Here is a 16,086-nt window from a genome sequence, read left to right on the forward strand (position 1 = left end):
AGTATCATTCTCATATCCACTGACTCCTGCCCTCTGTCTGTCTCTGCTTCTCTCATATGACTTTGTCTGAATCCTCTCAATTATTCACTGAAATATCTCCCTCCTTTCCAGATCACGATGCCTCCTGAGCTGACTTCATTCTGTTCTTATCACTAATCACCCAGCATCACGTAAATCTCAAATCGAGATGGGTTCAGGTACTCTTAAATTCTCATCTGTTAATTCCCTTATTGGACCTTTCCAAACCCCTTGAGTGAAGGTTCTTTTCTAATTAATTAGTAGTTAAGTTAAAGTAAGGGAGGTTCATTTGTTATTTCATTTCATATGCAGTATCAGAGCATATTGTTATTCAATAAATATCATACGATACTGACAATAACTTCAGGTTAATAATATTCTAGGAGATTAGATATGATGAAGTCGAATAAACATACCCTTGAGTCCAAAAGGAAAAGATATTTAAATTTAAGGAACACTGCAGAAAGCATCTTTCTTCCAAAGACATAGCAAATGTAAGATATAGAAGACAGCCTCTCCCCGACTTCCAGCCCCAGCTTTCCAACCGATATTGCTTTACCACAGCAGCCAACCCAGGCAACTGGTAAGCAGCATCTTGACTAATGAGCCAGTTCTTCCAAGGTGTATGATATTTCCTTTTTGTAATCCAAACATTTTTGTGAACCAAGTGATCCAGACAGATAGCTTAAATACAACTTCAGTGTAGGTGTCGCCGTGGAGCTGACCCATGGCCCAAAGCATCTAAATTTGTAATAGGATATAGTTTATACTTGGCAAATTTGTCTCAGTATGAAATAACAATCAATTGAACTATTTCTGCCTAGGTTTTCCTTATCTTTGTTTCTCCATATTCCCACAGAGCACACTGCATTCTTATATTGGGGAATTTAGCTCCTTGTATTATAGCGAGGTTTGCTTATGTGGGTCTTCTCTGTCAGCATGAACCCTGAATTACTTACTGTTTTTCTAAACACATTAATAGGTGGTTAATGCATGGTTTGAGAATGAAAGAGAAAGGATAAGTATTTGTAGCCGAACTTTCTTTATAGAAACTTCTAAATTACTGATTATTTTACGCCATTTAAAAAACCCATCAGATAACTACGGAAGGATACAGCTCTCAAAAGAACATTGACAAAATATCCATTCCCATGGCTTCAATCACTAATCATTATCAGATGGTATCTAAAAATATCTCCATCCCGTTTCTCTTGTTTGAACTTGAAATCATAGCCTAATTGAATTCCCATCTTGGATATTCCAGAGATCTAAAAGTGGAGTCTTTAGCTTCCCCAAAACCACCTCTAGTCTACTCTGTCTGAGTTGAGTGATTGGTGCCTCTATCTACAAAGTGACTCAAGTATTCATTACTCCTTCATTTTCCTTGTTCCTTAAGTTTAAATTATCATTAAGTCTTACTTATGCTTTATCCTAACACCCTTTATATCTATGCATTTCTCCTCTTCCTTACTGGCCCTGTTCTCCTCTAGGCCAAACTATTTATTTTTTACACAACAAATAAATATTTTTATTACGTAAAATAATGCCTTTCTTTCTCAATTCCAATTAATTTAAATAAATCTTTCTGAAAGTTTTATAATAACTGCAACTTTCCTGCCTACACCACTTTGTTATTAGCCTTAGAATAAGCTTCAAAAGTTTAAAAATATATTACTTCCTAATATGGCCTTTACCTCTCAAACTGTATTTCTTGACAACTCAATACCTCTCCAGACCTTGACTCTTCACTCCCCTTAATCTCAATTTATTTCAGTACCTTGAACACAAGATGTTTTATTTTTCTTCTGGACCTTCTCAAATGTTTTTTCTGACGGAAATCCTCTCCAGCACTACATCTTTCATTCAGCCTGGTCAGTGTTCAGTCTTCAGCTTAGGCAGTACTTTCTATAGAAAGCTTTTCTTGATTCCGAAGGTCTAAGTCCAGTATCCCTCCCCTGTGAACTCTTAGCACCTGGTACTTGCCCCTTCAAACTACTAAACACATTTCTGGGCTGGGCACGGTGGCTCACACCTGTAATCCCAACACTTGGGGAGGCTGAGGCAGGCAGATCACTTGAAGTCAGGAGTTCGAGGCCAGCCTGGCCAACAGGGCGAACCCCATCTCTACTAAAAATATAAAATTAGCTGTTCATGGTGGCACACAGCTGTAATCCCAGCTACTGGGGGAAGCTGAGGTGGGAGGATTGTTGGAACCTGGGAGGCAGAGGTTGCAGTGAGCTAAGATCACAGCACTGCACTCCAGCCTGGGTAACAGAGCGAGACCCTGTCTCAAAAAAAAAAAGAAAAACCAGATTAACCATATTTTCAATGCCAGTTTACTTAAAATTAATGAATAGTAATTTCAGTGTGGTAGCTAAGTAAATGTTGTTCTTGAAAAAGCCAAGAAGGAAATAATGGTCATATAGTATTTCATTTGTATGCAGCCTTTTGATTTTCTTGGAATTTCTTTATATATATATAATATATATATTATACTTTAAGTTCTAGGGTACATGGGCACAACGTACAGGTTAGTTACATATGTATACATGTGCCATGCTGGTGTGCTGCACCCATTAACTCGTCATTTAGCATTAGGTATATCTCCTAATGCTATCCCTCCCCCCTCCCCCCACCCCACAACAGGCCCTGGTGTGTGATGTTCCCCTTCCTGTGTCCAGGTGTTCCCATTATTCAATTCCCACCTATGAGTGAGAACATGTGGTGTTTGGTTTTCTGTCCTTGCTATAGTTTGCTGAGAATGATGGTTTCCAGCTTCATCCATGTCCCTACAAAGGACATGAACTCATAATTTTTTATGGCTGCATAGTATTCCATGGTGTATATGTGCCACATTTTCTTAACCCAGTCTATCATTGTTGGACATTTGGGTTGGTTCCAAGTCTTTGCTATTGTGAATAGTGCCGCAATAAACATACGTGTGCATGTGTCTTTATAGAAGCATGATTTATAATCCTTTGGGTATATAGCCAGTAATGGGATGACTGGGTCAAATGGTATTTCTAGTTCTAGATCCCTGAGGAATCGCCACACTGACTTCCACAATGGTTGAACTAGTTTACAGTCCCACCAATAGTGTAAAAGTGTTCCTATTTCTCCACATCCTGTCTAGCACCTGTTGTTTCCTGACTTTTTAATAATTGCCATTCTAACTGGTGTGAGAATTGCCTTTCATTTCTTTCTTTTTTTCCCCTTTCCTTCCTGCCTCTCTCTTTCCGTTCTCTCTTTCTGTCATCACCTTTCAACATACTGGTTTGTCACATCTCTATCTGATCAGGTATCCTGTCAGAATTTTTTTATTTATTTAATTTTTCTTTCAGAGGTTATACTCTTGAGGGCATTCATCTTCTATTCCAATCTAAACATTCTTATATTGCTATTATCATAGGACTACTTTTTATTATTTTTCTAAATTGTTTCTATATATTTTTCTGTATCTCACATCATACTTTTTCTTAGTTTATTCCTCTGTTTGACTATAGCACATCCTAAAGTAATCTTCTAAGAAAATATTGGTATAAGGTAAATTTTCAGAATTATTCTCATATTATAAAATATCATAATTTGAAGCTCATACTTGATTGATGCTATGATGATAGATTGAAAAGAAGTTCTCTGTAGATTTTTTGAGGCATTCCTCCATTGTCTTCTAACATCCAGTGTTTCTGACACAATTTCTAATAATTTTATATTAAAATATTGACATAATAGTTTCTAAGATAATACAAAGTATTCCTGTATATCTTTCCCCCAACTTTTCCTGAAGTTGCCATCTTACATAATGATATTTTATTTGTTACAACTAAGAAATTAGTATTGGTACAACAATATTAACTAAAATAGACTTTATTTGTATTTCTTTAGTTGTTCAACTGATGTCCTGCTTTCTGTTCTATAATTCTAAACTGTATACCCTATTTCATCTAATTTTCATGTTTCCTCAGTCCCCTCTAATCTGACAGTTCCTTAGTCTTACTTTGTTTTTCACGACTTTGCTTTTTTTGGGGGGAGATGGAGTTTTGCTCTGTCGCCCAGGTTGGAATACAGTGGCATGATCTTGGCTCACTGCAACCTCCACCTCCTGGCTCCTGGGTTCAAGCGATTCTCCTGCCTCAGCCTCTCAAGTAGCTGGGATTACAGGCCCACACCACCACACCTGGCTAATTTTGTTATCTTTTCTTAGTACAGTTGGGGTTTCCCCATATTGTCCAGGCTGGTCTCGAACTCCTGACCTCAAATGATCCACCCATCTCGGCCTCCCAAAGTGCTGGGATTACAGGTGGAAGCCATGGTGCCTGGCCAACTTTGACATTTTTAAAGGGCCTGAACAGGTATGTTGTAAAATACATCTCAATTTTTCTTTGGCTGAGGCTTGCTCATGATGAAACTTGGGTTATGGATTTGTGGGAACAATGCCATAAAAGTGAAGTGTCCTTCTCATCTAAGAAGAACATCCATGGAACCCTGACTCTTATCTCTTGTACGTGACCAGATTTTTCTGTTGGTATTTTCTGTGGTTCCAAGTGATGTTTAAAAGCATTAATTGTCCCATTCATTGCATTAGGTTTCCATTGAACCTCTTTTGATGTGCCTGTTTGTATATTCAAGCTCTGAAAATTTCTTATTTATTTGTTTTTTGATATGTCCTGCTTTCCTTCATCTTTGTCCTCCCTTAATCTTATTTACACCAGCATTTATTAGCCTTTTGTTTACACGGTATCATGAGTTCTTTTCTTTTTATGAGTAAATTACTCTTGAAGATGATTTACTAAAACACCGGTTCTTATGGTCTTTTCTCAAAGTTTAAAAGGGGAAACTCATAAACTTTTTTTTAAATTTCTGATCTCCACACATTCAAAACTGAAATATAGGCAGGCATAATTTTGGCTTCCACTTCTTCTACTTTTAATGATTAACACAATTATTTTGAACTATTTTGGCCTCTGAATACTTCAAAGCAGTGACCCATAATGTTCAGCATTCTTTATCTCCTCTGTCTCGCAGCTGACGGAGTGGGCATACTGGTTGTATGCCTTGGCTCTCTGTTCACAATCCTGAAGGGATAGAAGCCAATCGTTTGGTCATTCTGACACCAGATATTGTATGCAAAGCTGACTGTGTTTTCTCTGGTGACACCAGACACTGTATGCAAAGCTGGCTGTGTTTTCTCCGGTGAATTGGGAAGAGGGACTACACTTGAAATTGACAAGATGAGTTTCAGTTGCCAGCTGTTCCACGTGGGTCCTTTCAGTTCCTGTAAGGCTTCCAGACACTGGCATGAGGTCAGATTTCCTTTGTCTTACTTTTCATAATCAAGTTCTAGGCCACTAGATAAAACTACTCTTATGATTTTTAATTCTTTATTAAAGTAGGTTATACACAGAAAACATAAATTGGAGTCTGCCTTCCTGATTTTCCTGTAGTGGTTTACTTACTCTGATTCCCCTATTCAATATGGAGTTACTTCAAAAACACATGTTCAACTGAAATTCTAAAATCCCTTTTAAAAATCAGGGCTGGTGCAGTGGCTCACGCTTGTAATCCCGTAATCCCAGCACTTTGGGAGGCCGAGGTGGGCAGATCACGAGGTCAGGAGTTTGAGACCAGCCTGGCCAACATAGTGAAACCCTGTGTCTACTACTAAAAAAAGAAAAGAAAAGAAAAGAAAAGAAAAGAAAAGAAAAGAAAAGAAAAGAAAAGAAAAGAAAAGAAAAGAAAAAAACATTAACCGGGGGTGGTTTTGAGCACTTGTAATCCCAGCTACTCGGGAGGCTGAGGCAGAAGAATCACTTGAACCTGCTAAATGGAGTTTGCAGTGAGCCGAGATCGCGCCACTGCACTCCAGCCCAGGTGACAGAGCAAGACTCCATCTCAAAAATAAAATAAAATAAAATAAAATTGGTGGTCTATCAAATACATACGACTTGCTAAGCAAATTAAGGATGTTTGTCCTTACATACATATCTTGGTTCTTATAACTGGAGCCAACAACAGATTCGTACAGCTAACTCTAGACAGTTGAGAGACTGTTTACACAGATTACACACCATCTCTACATCATCTCTTCCTCCCTCAAGCTGCCATCTAATTTTAGTTACGTCAGTACTAGTGCCTTCATAATGATGGAGGAAAGGTATTAAGTTTCTTTCTTCTGGAGGCCCTGTTTTTAATAAATCAATCACAAGTGAGATTTATTAAAAACAAATGGCTAAAATGATTTTTAGATTATTCATATTTTATAGTAACTGCCTATCCGACCATTAATGACTACACATGAAGTTGTTCTATATTTATTTTGTCCAGTAAATTTTCTTCTAGATAAATATATGGAAAGACAATGGCTCTCTTAGTTAAAATGATATTTGACATAATTTCAAAGCTATGACAATTTCCTTATATTTGAAACACTTTCTGCTGACGCAGCATTTCTTTAAAGCATAGTTTATTCCATGACATGAAGATGGAAAAACCTCCTGAGTATGAAGGACCAGGTACCCAAATGTCCTGAGAAAGCCTCCTTCCCTTTTTATACCTCAGAAGCCAAATATGTTATTTACTCTAAAGCGTGTTCTTACATCTTGCTCCATAGCTCATTTAATGACATCACCATTCATTCAATGTCCAAACTGCTCTCATTGGATACACGAGGCTCTAGGGTAGTTTGAAGATTCCCTTAAGACCGAAACAAACAAGTAAACACCTCTGACTATGTTTGGTCGTTTAGTCTATGGTGGATCTGTAGATCCATTTTTTTTAAACTGAAGTTTGGATGTTTTATTTATTTTAGAAATGTAAAAGATTTCTGTGTCTGTGAATGTGCAGTGTTGTATGGTAGAGGAAAACATAGGCCCTGAAGTAAGATAGATCTATAAGTGACTTTACTTCTTTTATAGATGTTGGAGGAACTTTGAAAAAAATAGGTTTTTGGATAAAAGTTGCTTAAAATTTCAGATCTCTCTTCCCATATGTAAATGTAAATATTTATATATATTTAAATATTTGTCATTAAGATACTTTATTAATTAATTAATTAATTTATTTATTTATTGAAGCAGGGTCTCATTCTGTTGCCCAGGCCAGAGTGCAGTGGCACGATATCAGCTCACTGAAACCTCTGCCTCCCAGGTTTGAGCGATCGATTCTCCTGCCTTGGCCTCCCTAGTAGCTGGGACTATAGGCGCATGCTACCATGCCCAGCTAATTTTTGTTGTTTTTAGTAGAGATGGGATTTCACCACGTTCGCCAGGCTGATCTCAAACTCCTGACCTCAGGTGATCCTCCCGCCTCGGCCTCCCAAAGTGCTGGGATTACGGGCGTGAGCCACCACGCCCAGCCATGAAGATACTTATTAACAATATATAAAATGATAGTATCTGTCATTTAGAGGTGTTCAATTATTTACATAAACATGTGAATAGAAAAGAATATAAATCTACATTCTTGATGACATAAATGATAATATAAAATGTTATATATCCCAGAAGGTTCAGAAAAAATAAGACTAGATTTGAAATAAAATTATCTAATAAAGAAATATAAATGGGATGTAAAATCATGTCAACTACTCACCCTTTGAAGGAGCAGGCTTATGAGAAGCTAGGAAAGAATTCTTATGGTTCTTAAATAATTATCTGCAGGAATCAAGGTGCTCAGTACTTCCTCTTGTCTCCTTTAGTCTATGCAGATACACTTGGTAAATAGTCCCATTTCCCCTTCATGTCTTCCTTTCTTCCCTTCATTGTAATAATGACCTGTAAGTACAAGAAGAATTACCGTCAGGTAAAAGCCTTTTTCATAGATCCTGCAATGAAAATTATAATTACTTTAAAGCAGTAAAATTGTAATGCTAGTAGGTAATACTCAGACATGTTCTTCTCAAACATTCTTTTAACTCTTCCGTGATATTTTCTGAAGCTCTGAAAGAATTTCCCCTTTTAAAGAATTGACGTATAAAATATATGCACTCTCCCACTAGAGATACGAGCTACTTTAGTCCCGTATTTTATTATTGCAGGGATAGATAAGTGGACAGATGCTGTCAAGCATTCAAATAATCGACCTATAAAGGGCTAGACATAGAAAGACATAATTTCCCTGACCTCTCCAACACGCAGTCTATTCTCACTCTGGAGGATGAAATGCAAAGACTCAACTCCAAGAATGAAGGTACACAATGTGTTTCAGGGGAGTGGACGCATAGCTATGGCCTCACAGTTGGCACTTACTCTATGCCCTGGTGATACTGAATTTGGATATGATACACAACGATATTCAGCTTCTGGAGGGCCGGGGAAGGGTCCATTGCAAAATTGTGCGGAGTTGACCCTTGGGTAAAAATCAGAATTTACATTTTGGTTTTAAATTTTATAAGGTACAGTACTGTTCTATTTGCTCTACATAAATAATTTCATTTAATCTACTCAACAGCTTAGTGTTTTGTGTATTATTATTCATCTCAGTTTATAGCTGTGGAATCTGAGCTTTACAAAGGCTAGATAACTCATCTGAAGGCAATGCTTAGCACTGCTTAGCAGCCCAATAGTGGTACCAGCTCAGCACCATGGTTTTATTTATACTTTGTCTCTGTAGACCTTGCTTTATTCCGGACTTGAGAAGGAGTTCTCCAAGCATTTGGAAGAAACTCCTTTTCCATTGAAGTTGTTTAAAGAACACTTACCTTTTGAGTAAGCCAGAAGCTTTTTTTGAAAATACATGGAATGTGATGTTTTTTATTTTATAATGCCTACTTGAGCTGCATACCCAAGGCTACCTGTCAATAATCAGTCACTTTTCACAGATTATTTTTACTACAATCTATGACAAAGATGATCACACTGACCTATTTAGCCTCTTAAAACTCTGCTTTGTACTTGATTATCTAAAACACTATTTATTTCACTTCAGCCCAATAAATACTTATTGAGTGCCTGTTATGTGCCAGGCACAGATGCCAAGATATAACCTGTGATTTAATGGGGTAACATACATCATGCATTGCTTTAGGAGTGTGTTCACTGGGCAAAGGGAACAAAGAGGCACTTGGCTCACCCTAGATCAAGAGGAGAGGCTCTCCAGATTTGCTGACCTAGAAGGATAAGTCTGAAAGTAGGAGGGTGGGGAGAGCCAGATGAACAAGGGAGGTGAAAACGTGATCTAGGGAGGCATCCGAGTGAGCAAAGGCACGAGTGAGCCTGGTACACTTCTGGGCAGGCAGAAGGAAGGCAGTTAGGCTGTTAGGAAGGCAGTTAGGCTGCAGTGAATTCTACAAAGAGGCTATGGGAAAGAAACCTGGAAAGGTAGGGAGGTATGGATATGGACAAGCTATGCCAAGGAGCAGGGCTTTGTCATGGAGAGTGACTAGGTGCTTTTACATAGGAAAGTCACCTGATAATATTAAAACCTGTGAAATATCACTCTGGTGGAAGTGTGAATGAATTTGAAAGGGGTGTAACACTGTTCTACTTTGTTTACTCCTCAGTACCCTTGGCTGTGTACATTTGAGTAAAGAGAGCACTATAAAATCAAAAACCAATGAAATGGTTTCCAGAACACAGAACTATTAAGCTTAAGAAAAGGACAGAAGGAACTGAAGAGAGAGGAACTGTTTTGGAGCATCACACTTCCACCTCAGAAGAAATAAGGAAGGAAGGAGGAGGGTGTTCCCACGGCTCTTCAACCAGGCCGGCTCTTCAGCCTACATCCCCATCTCATCAAGTAAAAGGGATTTTTCAACTGGACCAACCAGATGGTTTAACAGTGCACTCCCACACCATTCAACTACGCAAGGGAGATACACTTAACATATGCAGTCGTATAACACCTACTAACATTTTCAAACATTAAACCTTTAAAAAAGAGTTCTAAAGAAATAGAAGCTTGAAGTATCATCTCTCAAGTATATAGACACTACTTCATGGTGTGGTAATATATGCATATAGAAGCTAGTAAACACCTCCAGGAGATGCAAAAGGAATTAGAACTGCCACAAGGTGCAAGCAAAACCTTGAGGTAAGCCTGTTCTTTACTCAGTACATTTTTCCTCTTCGACATTGTAGGTATGTTATCTCCATCATCCGTATTTGTCTATTGCAGTCTCCATTGATGGTGAAGTATTTTCACTATTTGGCATGTCTTCTCTAGTACCTAGAGCAGTGCGTTGCATGCAGTAGCAGGTTTATAAACATTTGCGAGTAAAACATCCAACCTGATACTCAAGGTAAACTCCTGAACCAAACACCCAGAGTAATGTGAATGTTTTTCTATACTCTAGAGTTTATGGCTAGAAATTGCACGGAATGAACTGCATCCTAAACTGGGGTCGGGAAGGTGGGAAAATGAGTCCAGTGATGAAAGGAAGAAGCTGTGCAAGCTATGAAAAAACCTGGTGTGGGAAACTTTTTGTGTGATGTCTGTATATTTTTTTCTTATTTTTTAACAGCAGGTAGCTGTCTTCTCATATATAATTAATTTCCAAACCTCCATTTTTGATGTATGTCATAAAACTGGCATTTTAATTATTTATTTTCAATGTATTTTCTGTTCTGTTAATGAAGATTACAATGAAGAGGAGGGGGAAATCAATTTTTTTAAAAAAAGGAAAAATATAAAATTCAGACCTAAACCTATTTTTCTTCTTCCGATCTATTTACCCAGCTTCATCTTCATATTACCTGTAGCCCTGTGATGCAGGACAGCGCTGAATCAGTTCTCAAAGTCATCCAGTTCAGGAAGCTTTCTAGATACTCACACTTGCCCTCAAACATACCCCTTCTGCGCGCACACACACACACACACACACACACATCTTCCTTCTCTAAATGCCCCATGATACTGGATTTATCCTTTTATCACTCTTGTTTACGATGTGCTACTGTAATTGAGTATATCCTATGTATCAAGCTCTGTGTTACCTATTTTAAGGATTTAAAATGATTTAGTTGTTTGTACACAATTTGTGTAACATCCTTTCCTATGAGAGCAAAAAGACAAAATTTGCATCTGATTTTTAAAACATGATATACATACATGTTTCAGAGAGCATGTATCTAATTAAATATTTGATGAGTGCAGAAGAATGAGTGAGAGTATGAATGTCTGTAAAAGATTATTTGGTTATTACATTAAACCAGATAGTCTCTTGGTAAACTTTAAGTTACATTTATGCGGACAGAATTACAGATTCTCCACTGGCACACATGTTGCAGCATTTACTATCTTCTTTCATCTGATCAGATGTCAAAAGGAGATTTTTGAGCCATCATTTAGGTAATTGTTCATGAAGCCCAGACCAAAATATTGTGATAAATGTAGTTAAAATTATCTTTTTGTTAACTGCTATATTAGGAAAAAGTTGATACAAAATAAATTTTACATGTTTAAAATGTACCACTTAACAGGTTTTGGCATATGTTTACCCCTTAAAGCTGATACTGACTGCCCCATCCCAAAGCAGCCACTGATCTACTTCCTGGCCTTATCTATTAGCTTACATTTCCTAGAAGTTTGTGTAAATGTAATTATACAGTGTACCTTTTGTTGTTGTTGTTCGACTTATTTCATTCAGAATGATGTATTTTTTTTGAGATTCATTCACATAGTTGAGTGTATCAATACTTCATTTATTTTTTCCTGCTTGGTAGTTTTTCATTGCTTGGGTGTGCTACAGTTTTTATATTCAATCATCTGTTAATGAACATTTGAGTTGTTTCCAAATTTGCGCTGTTACAAATAAAACGGGTATGAACTTGTATGTATAAATATTTGCATGGACATATGTTTTCATTTCCTGTGGGGAAACACCTAGAATGGGAATCAGTAAATCCTACTGTAGGTATGTATTTAAAATGTTAATCAACCGTCAAACTATTTTCTAAAATAACTCCATGGCTTTATCTTCTCACCAGTAGTGTGAAAATTCCAGTTCTCTCAGGATTCTTGACTAAATTTAGTGTGGACAGTGTCTTGAAATTGAGCTATTCAAATAGGTGTATAGTGCTATGAGATTGTGCACTTCATTTGGACTTTTTCTAAGTACATTGAACATCTTTTAATGTGCTTATTGCTATCTACATGTCTTCTTTGATGAAGTGTCTATTCAAATCAGTTACCCATCTTTTAATAGGGTGGTTTGTTATTTTTACGTTTTGAGAATATTTTTAAAAATATTTTGAATGCAAGTTCTTTATTAGACATTACACACATAACTTGATAATCAGTTTTTCCCAATCTGTGGCTTGTCTTTTCATTCATGGTACCTTTGGAAGGGCAGTTTAATTTTGATGAATTAGATGAATTACAACATATCAATTTATTCTATTATTGATCTGAGCCTAATCTATGTCACAAAGAATTTGTTTCCTTTTTCTAGAATTTTTGTAATTTTAGACTTAACTCTAAAATCTTGAGTTAATATTTTATATAAGGCATGATATGAATTAGAGATACATTATTTACATGTGGATATCCAATTAGTCTAGCACCATTTATTTAAAGGCTATCCTTTTTCCATTTAATCTTCTGTAAAACTTTGTCAAAAATTAGTTGTCCATATGTGTATAGATCTACTTCTGGAATATCTATTCATTCTCTTGGTCTCATATTTGTCATCATATAATAAGTCTTGAAATCTAATAATGTTAGATCTACAACTTTGTCTTTTTTATTCAACATATTCTGACTATTTTAGAAACCTTGCATTTCTGTATTTATTTTAGAAACAGCTAGCTAATTTCTAAAAAAGACAGCCTAGAGTTTTAATGAATACATATAGTAGTATTTCTTCCCTTCCAATCTTGGTGAATTTTTTTCTTTTTCTTTCCTGATTTCATTGACTAAAAATTCCAGTAAAATGTTAAATAAAAGTGGTGAGAATTGAATCTGTTTTGTTCCTCACGTTAGTGAAAAAAGTTTCAGTCTTTCGCTATTAAGTTTGATGTTAGCTGTAAGCATTTCTGATGCCATTTTTCAGATTGAGATGTTTCTGTCTTAACTCTTATAAGAATACTTATCAGGAAATTCAGTTTACAAATGTGTGTAATTTCAGGTTACTTTTCATACATAAAACCAAACCTTAATTCTTAGAATAAACATCTCTTATTTTTTATATGTTATTATTTTTGTATATTGTTGGATTTGATTTGTTATAATTTTGTTAGAACTTTTTCATTTTTGCTCATGATGAATATTAGTCTATGATTTCTTTTCTACGAATATAATTGTCTGGTTATGATATCAGAGTAAATCCAGGCCACAAAATGTGTTGGGAAGTGGTTCCCCCTTTTAAATTTTCTGGGAGAACTTGGATAGAGTTGCTATTTTTCTGTAAATATTTGATATAAATCATCAGCGAAACTATCTGGGTCTGGAATTTTGGTGGAGGCAGGTTTTTAACTACATTGTAGAGTACTTCAAGTAATCTAACTCTTCTTGAGTGACTATTGTTGTATTTTCTCAATAAGTGTGTTCATTTTTCGAAGCTGTCATATTTCCTGGCATACAGTTGTTTACAGCATTCTTTTTTATTGCCTAATATCTATGGATCTTTAGTAATGCCACTCCCATTCTTTGGAAATTTGGTGCTATTTTTTTTTTTCAGATCATTCTGGCTAGAGATTTATACATTTTCTTGATTGACTCAAAGATCCGTCTTTACTTTTTTGAATTTCTCTGGTTTGTATTTTATTTTATTGATTACTATCTGATTTTTACTATTTTATTTATTCTATATATTTTGTGATTAATATGGTGATTTTTTTCTAGTTTCTTAAGTTGGAAGGTGAAGTCAATAATTTGGAGCCCTTTCTTTTTCTAATACAGATGTTTAGTACTATACATTCAGCTAAGCACTGCTTCAGTAGTATCTTACCTATTCTGACATGATGAATTTTTATTTTCATTCCTTTCAAATATTTTAATATTTCCATTTTGGTTTGTTATTTGACACATGGATTATTTTTAAGTATGTTATTTAATACCCAAATAATTCTGGAATGTCCATATATCTTTCTGTTATTTATTTCTTATTATATTTTACTTTCACCAGAGAACATACCTTATATGATACGAATCGTGTTAAATAAATTAAGACTTGTTTTATTATCCATAATATGGTCTATTTTGGTAAATGTTACATGTGAACTTGAGAATAATGTCAATTCTTATATTGTTACAAAGAGTATTCTAGGTGTCAAGTAGATTAATTTGATTCTAGGTGTCAAGTAGATTAAGTCTTCTATATTTTTACTTTCTATTTCTTTTATCAGTTAATAAGGCTGAATGTTTAAATATCAGCACATACTTGAAGAATTGTCTGGTTCTTTTTCTCAGTTCTATCAGCTTTTACTTAATGTATTTCTATTTCTTTATTGTGGTAGAAAACACACGAAATTTACCATCTTAACCATTTTCCAAGTGTACAGTTAAGTGGTAAGTATATTCTCATTGTAGTGAGACACTTCTCCATACATTTTCATCTTGCAAATTTCAGTTTATACCTATTAGGCAGCTCCTCTTTCTACTCTCCCTGCAGCCTCTGGTAACCACCATTCCACGTTCTGTTTCTATGACTTGGACTTTTTTAATATTATCTACATTGGATCATACAGTATTTGTCATCTTGTGACTAGCATATTTCACTTTACCTAATGTCCCCCTGCTTTCTCAATGTCGTAGCAAAGGATTTTTGTCCTTTTAAAGGCTGAATGATGTTCTGCTGTACGTATCCATCACAGACATTGTGGTTATTACACCTCTTGGCTATTTCAAGTAGTGCTGCTAAGAACATGGATGTAAAAATATCTCTTCAGGTCCCTGTTCTCAGTTATTTTGGATAAGTACCCAAAGATAGGATTTCTGGATCCTATGCTAGTTCTCTTTTTAATTATTTAAGGAAACTCCATGCTGATTTTCATAATGATTGCATCATTGCAAAATTCCACCAGGAGTGCAAGAGAATTCCAATTTCTCCTCATCCTTACCAAGATTCATTTTCCGTGATTTTTGTTGTGGTTGGTTGTTTGTTTAGTTGTTGATTTTGTTTTACATGTTAGCCATCGTAATGGGCATGTGGTTACATCTTGTTGATATCTTGTTGATTTACCTTTCTCAGTGATTAGTGATATTGAATAGTTTTTATATGTTTGCTAGCTATTAATATATCATCTTTGTAGAAATGTCTATTCAAGTTCTTTGGCAATTTGTAATTTTTTTATTATTTTCTGTTGCTGCATTGCATTTCTTTATATATTCTGGACATTAACTTTTCATTAAATATATGACTTTCAAATATTTTCCCCCATTCCATAGATTGTCTTTTCTCTCTTTTTATTGGGTCCTTTAATTACAAAAGCTTTCAGTTTGATGTCATCCCATTTGTTTATTTTTAATTTTTGTCTTATGTACTTTAGTGTCATAACCAAGAAATTGTTGCCAAGTCCAATGTCATGAAGCTTTTCCCTTATATTTTCATTGAGAAATTTTATAGTTTTAGGTCTTATACTTAGGCATTTAATCCACTTTGAGCTTATTTCAGTATATGGTGAAAGATAAAGGTCCAACTTCACTCTTTTGCATGCGATTATCTAGTTTTCCAACATCACTTGTTGAAGAGACTACCCTTTCCACACTCAGTAGTCTTGACAATCTTATCAAATATAATTTAATCATATAAGTGAAGGTATATTCCCACGCTCGTAACAGGCATTGAAATTAGGAGGTGTGATTCTTTTGAATTCCTTCATTTTCAAAATTGTTTGGCTATTCAGGGTCCCTGACATTCCATATGAATTTCTGGATGCGTTTTTCTATTTCTGCAAGGAAAAAAAAGTCACTGAGATTTCTATTTCTATAGGGATTGCATTGAGCTCATAAATTTCTTTGGGTGATGTGGACATCTTACCAATATTATTAAGTCTTCGAATTCATGAACATAGAATGTCTTTCCATTTATTTGTACCTTTGTCATTATATTTCAGAACTGCTTTGTAGTTTTCACTGTATAGTCTTTCACCTCCATGGGTAGATTTATTTCTATGGTTTTTATTCTTTTTG

At 35.6% G+C, this 16,086-nt stretch overlaps 2 long non-coding RNA genes across 7 annotated transcripts in view; one reads left to right on the forward strand and one right to left on the reverse strand.

The window, feature by feature from the left end:
• The window catches only part of LOC105370345 (uncharacterized), a 134,781-nt gene extending 125,507 nt beyond the window's left edge, over positions 1–9,274 (reverse strand). For all 5 annotated transcript variants that reach the window (XR_931698.2, XR_007063935.1, XR_931702.2 and 2 more), the window contains exons 1-2: positions 9,088–9,274; positions 7,609–7,790 (exon numbers count right to left, since the gene is read on the reverse strand). This is a non-coding gene — a long non-coding RNA (uncharacterized LOC105370345). The remainder of the gene's footprint in view (positions 1–7,608; positions 7,791–9,087) is intronic.
• Positions 9,248–16,086, forward strand: part of LINC00343 (long intergenic non-protein coding RNA 343) — a 54,967-nt gene continuing 48,128 nt past the window's right edge. The window contains exons 1-3 of one of the 2 annotated variants that reach the window (NR_046391.2): positions 9,248–9,335; positions 9,518–10,047; positions 10,132–10,255. This is a non-coding gene — a long non-coding RNA (long intergenic non-protein coding RNA 343). The remainder of the gene's footprint in view (positions 9,336–9,517; positions 10,048–10,131; positions 10,256–16,086) is intronic. The other variant, NR_120418.1, reaches the window with a different exon arrangement.

This window comes from Homo sapiens, chromosome 13 (genome assembly GCF_000001405.40).
Source record: "Homo sapiens chromosome 13, GRCh38.p14 Primary Assembly".
In the NCBI taxonomy this organism is placed as follows: domain Eukaryota; kingdom Metazoa; phylum Chordata; class Mammalia; order Primates; family Hominidae; genus Homo; species Homo sapiens.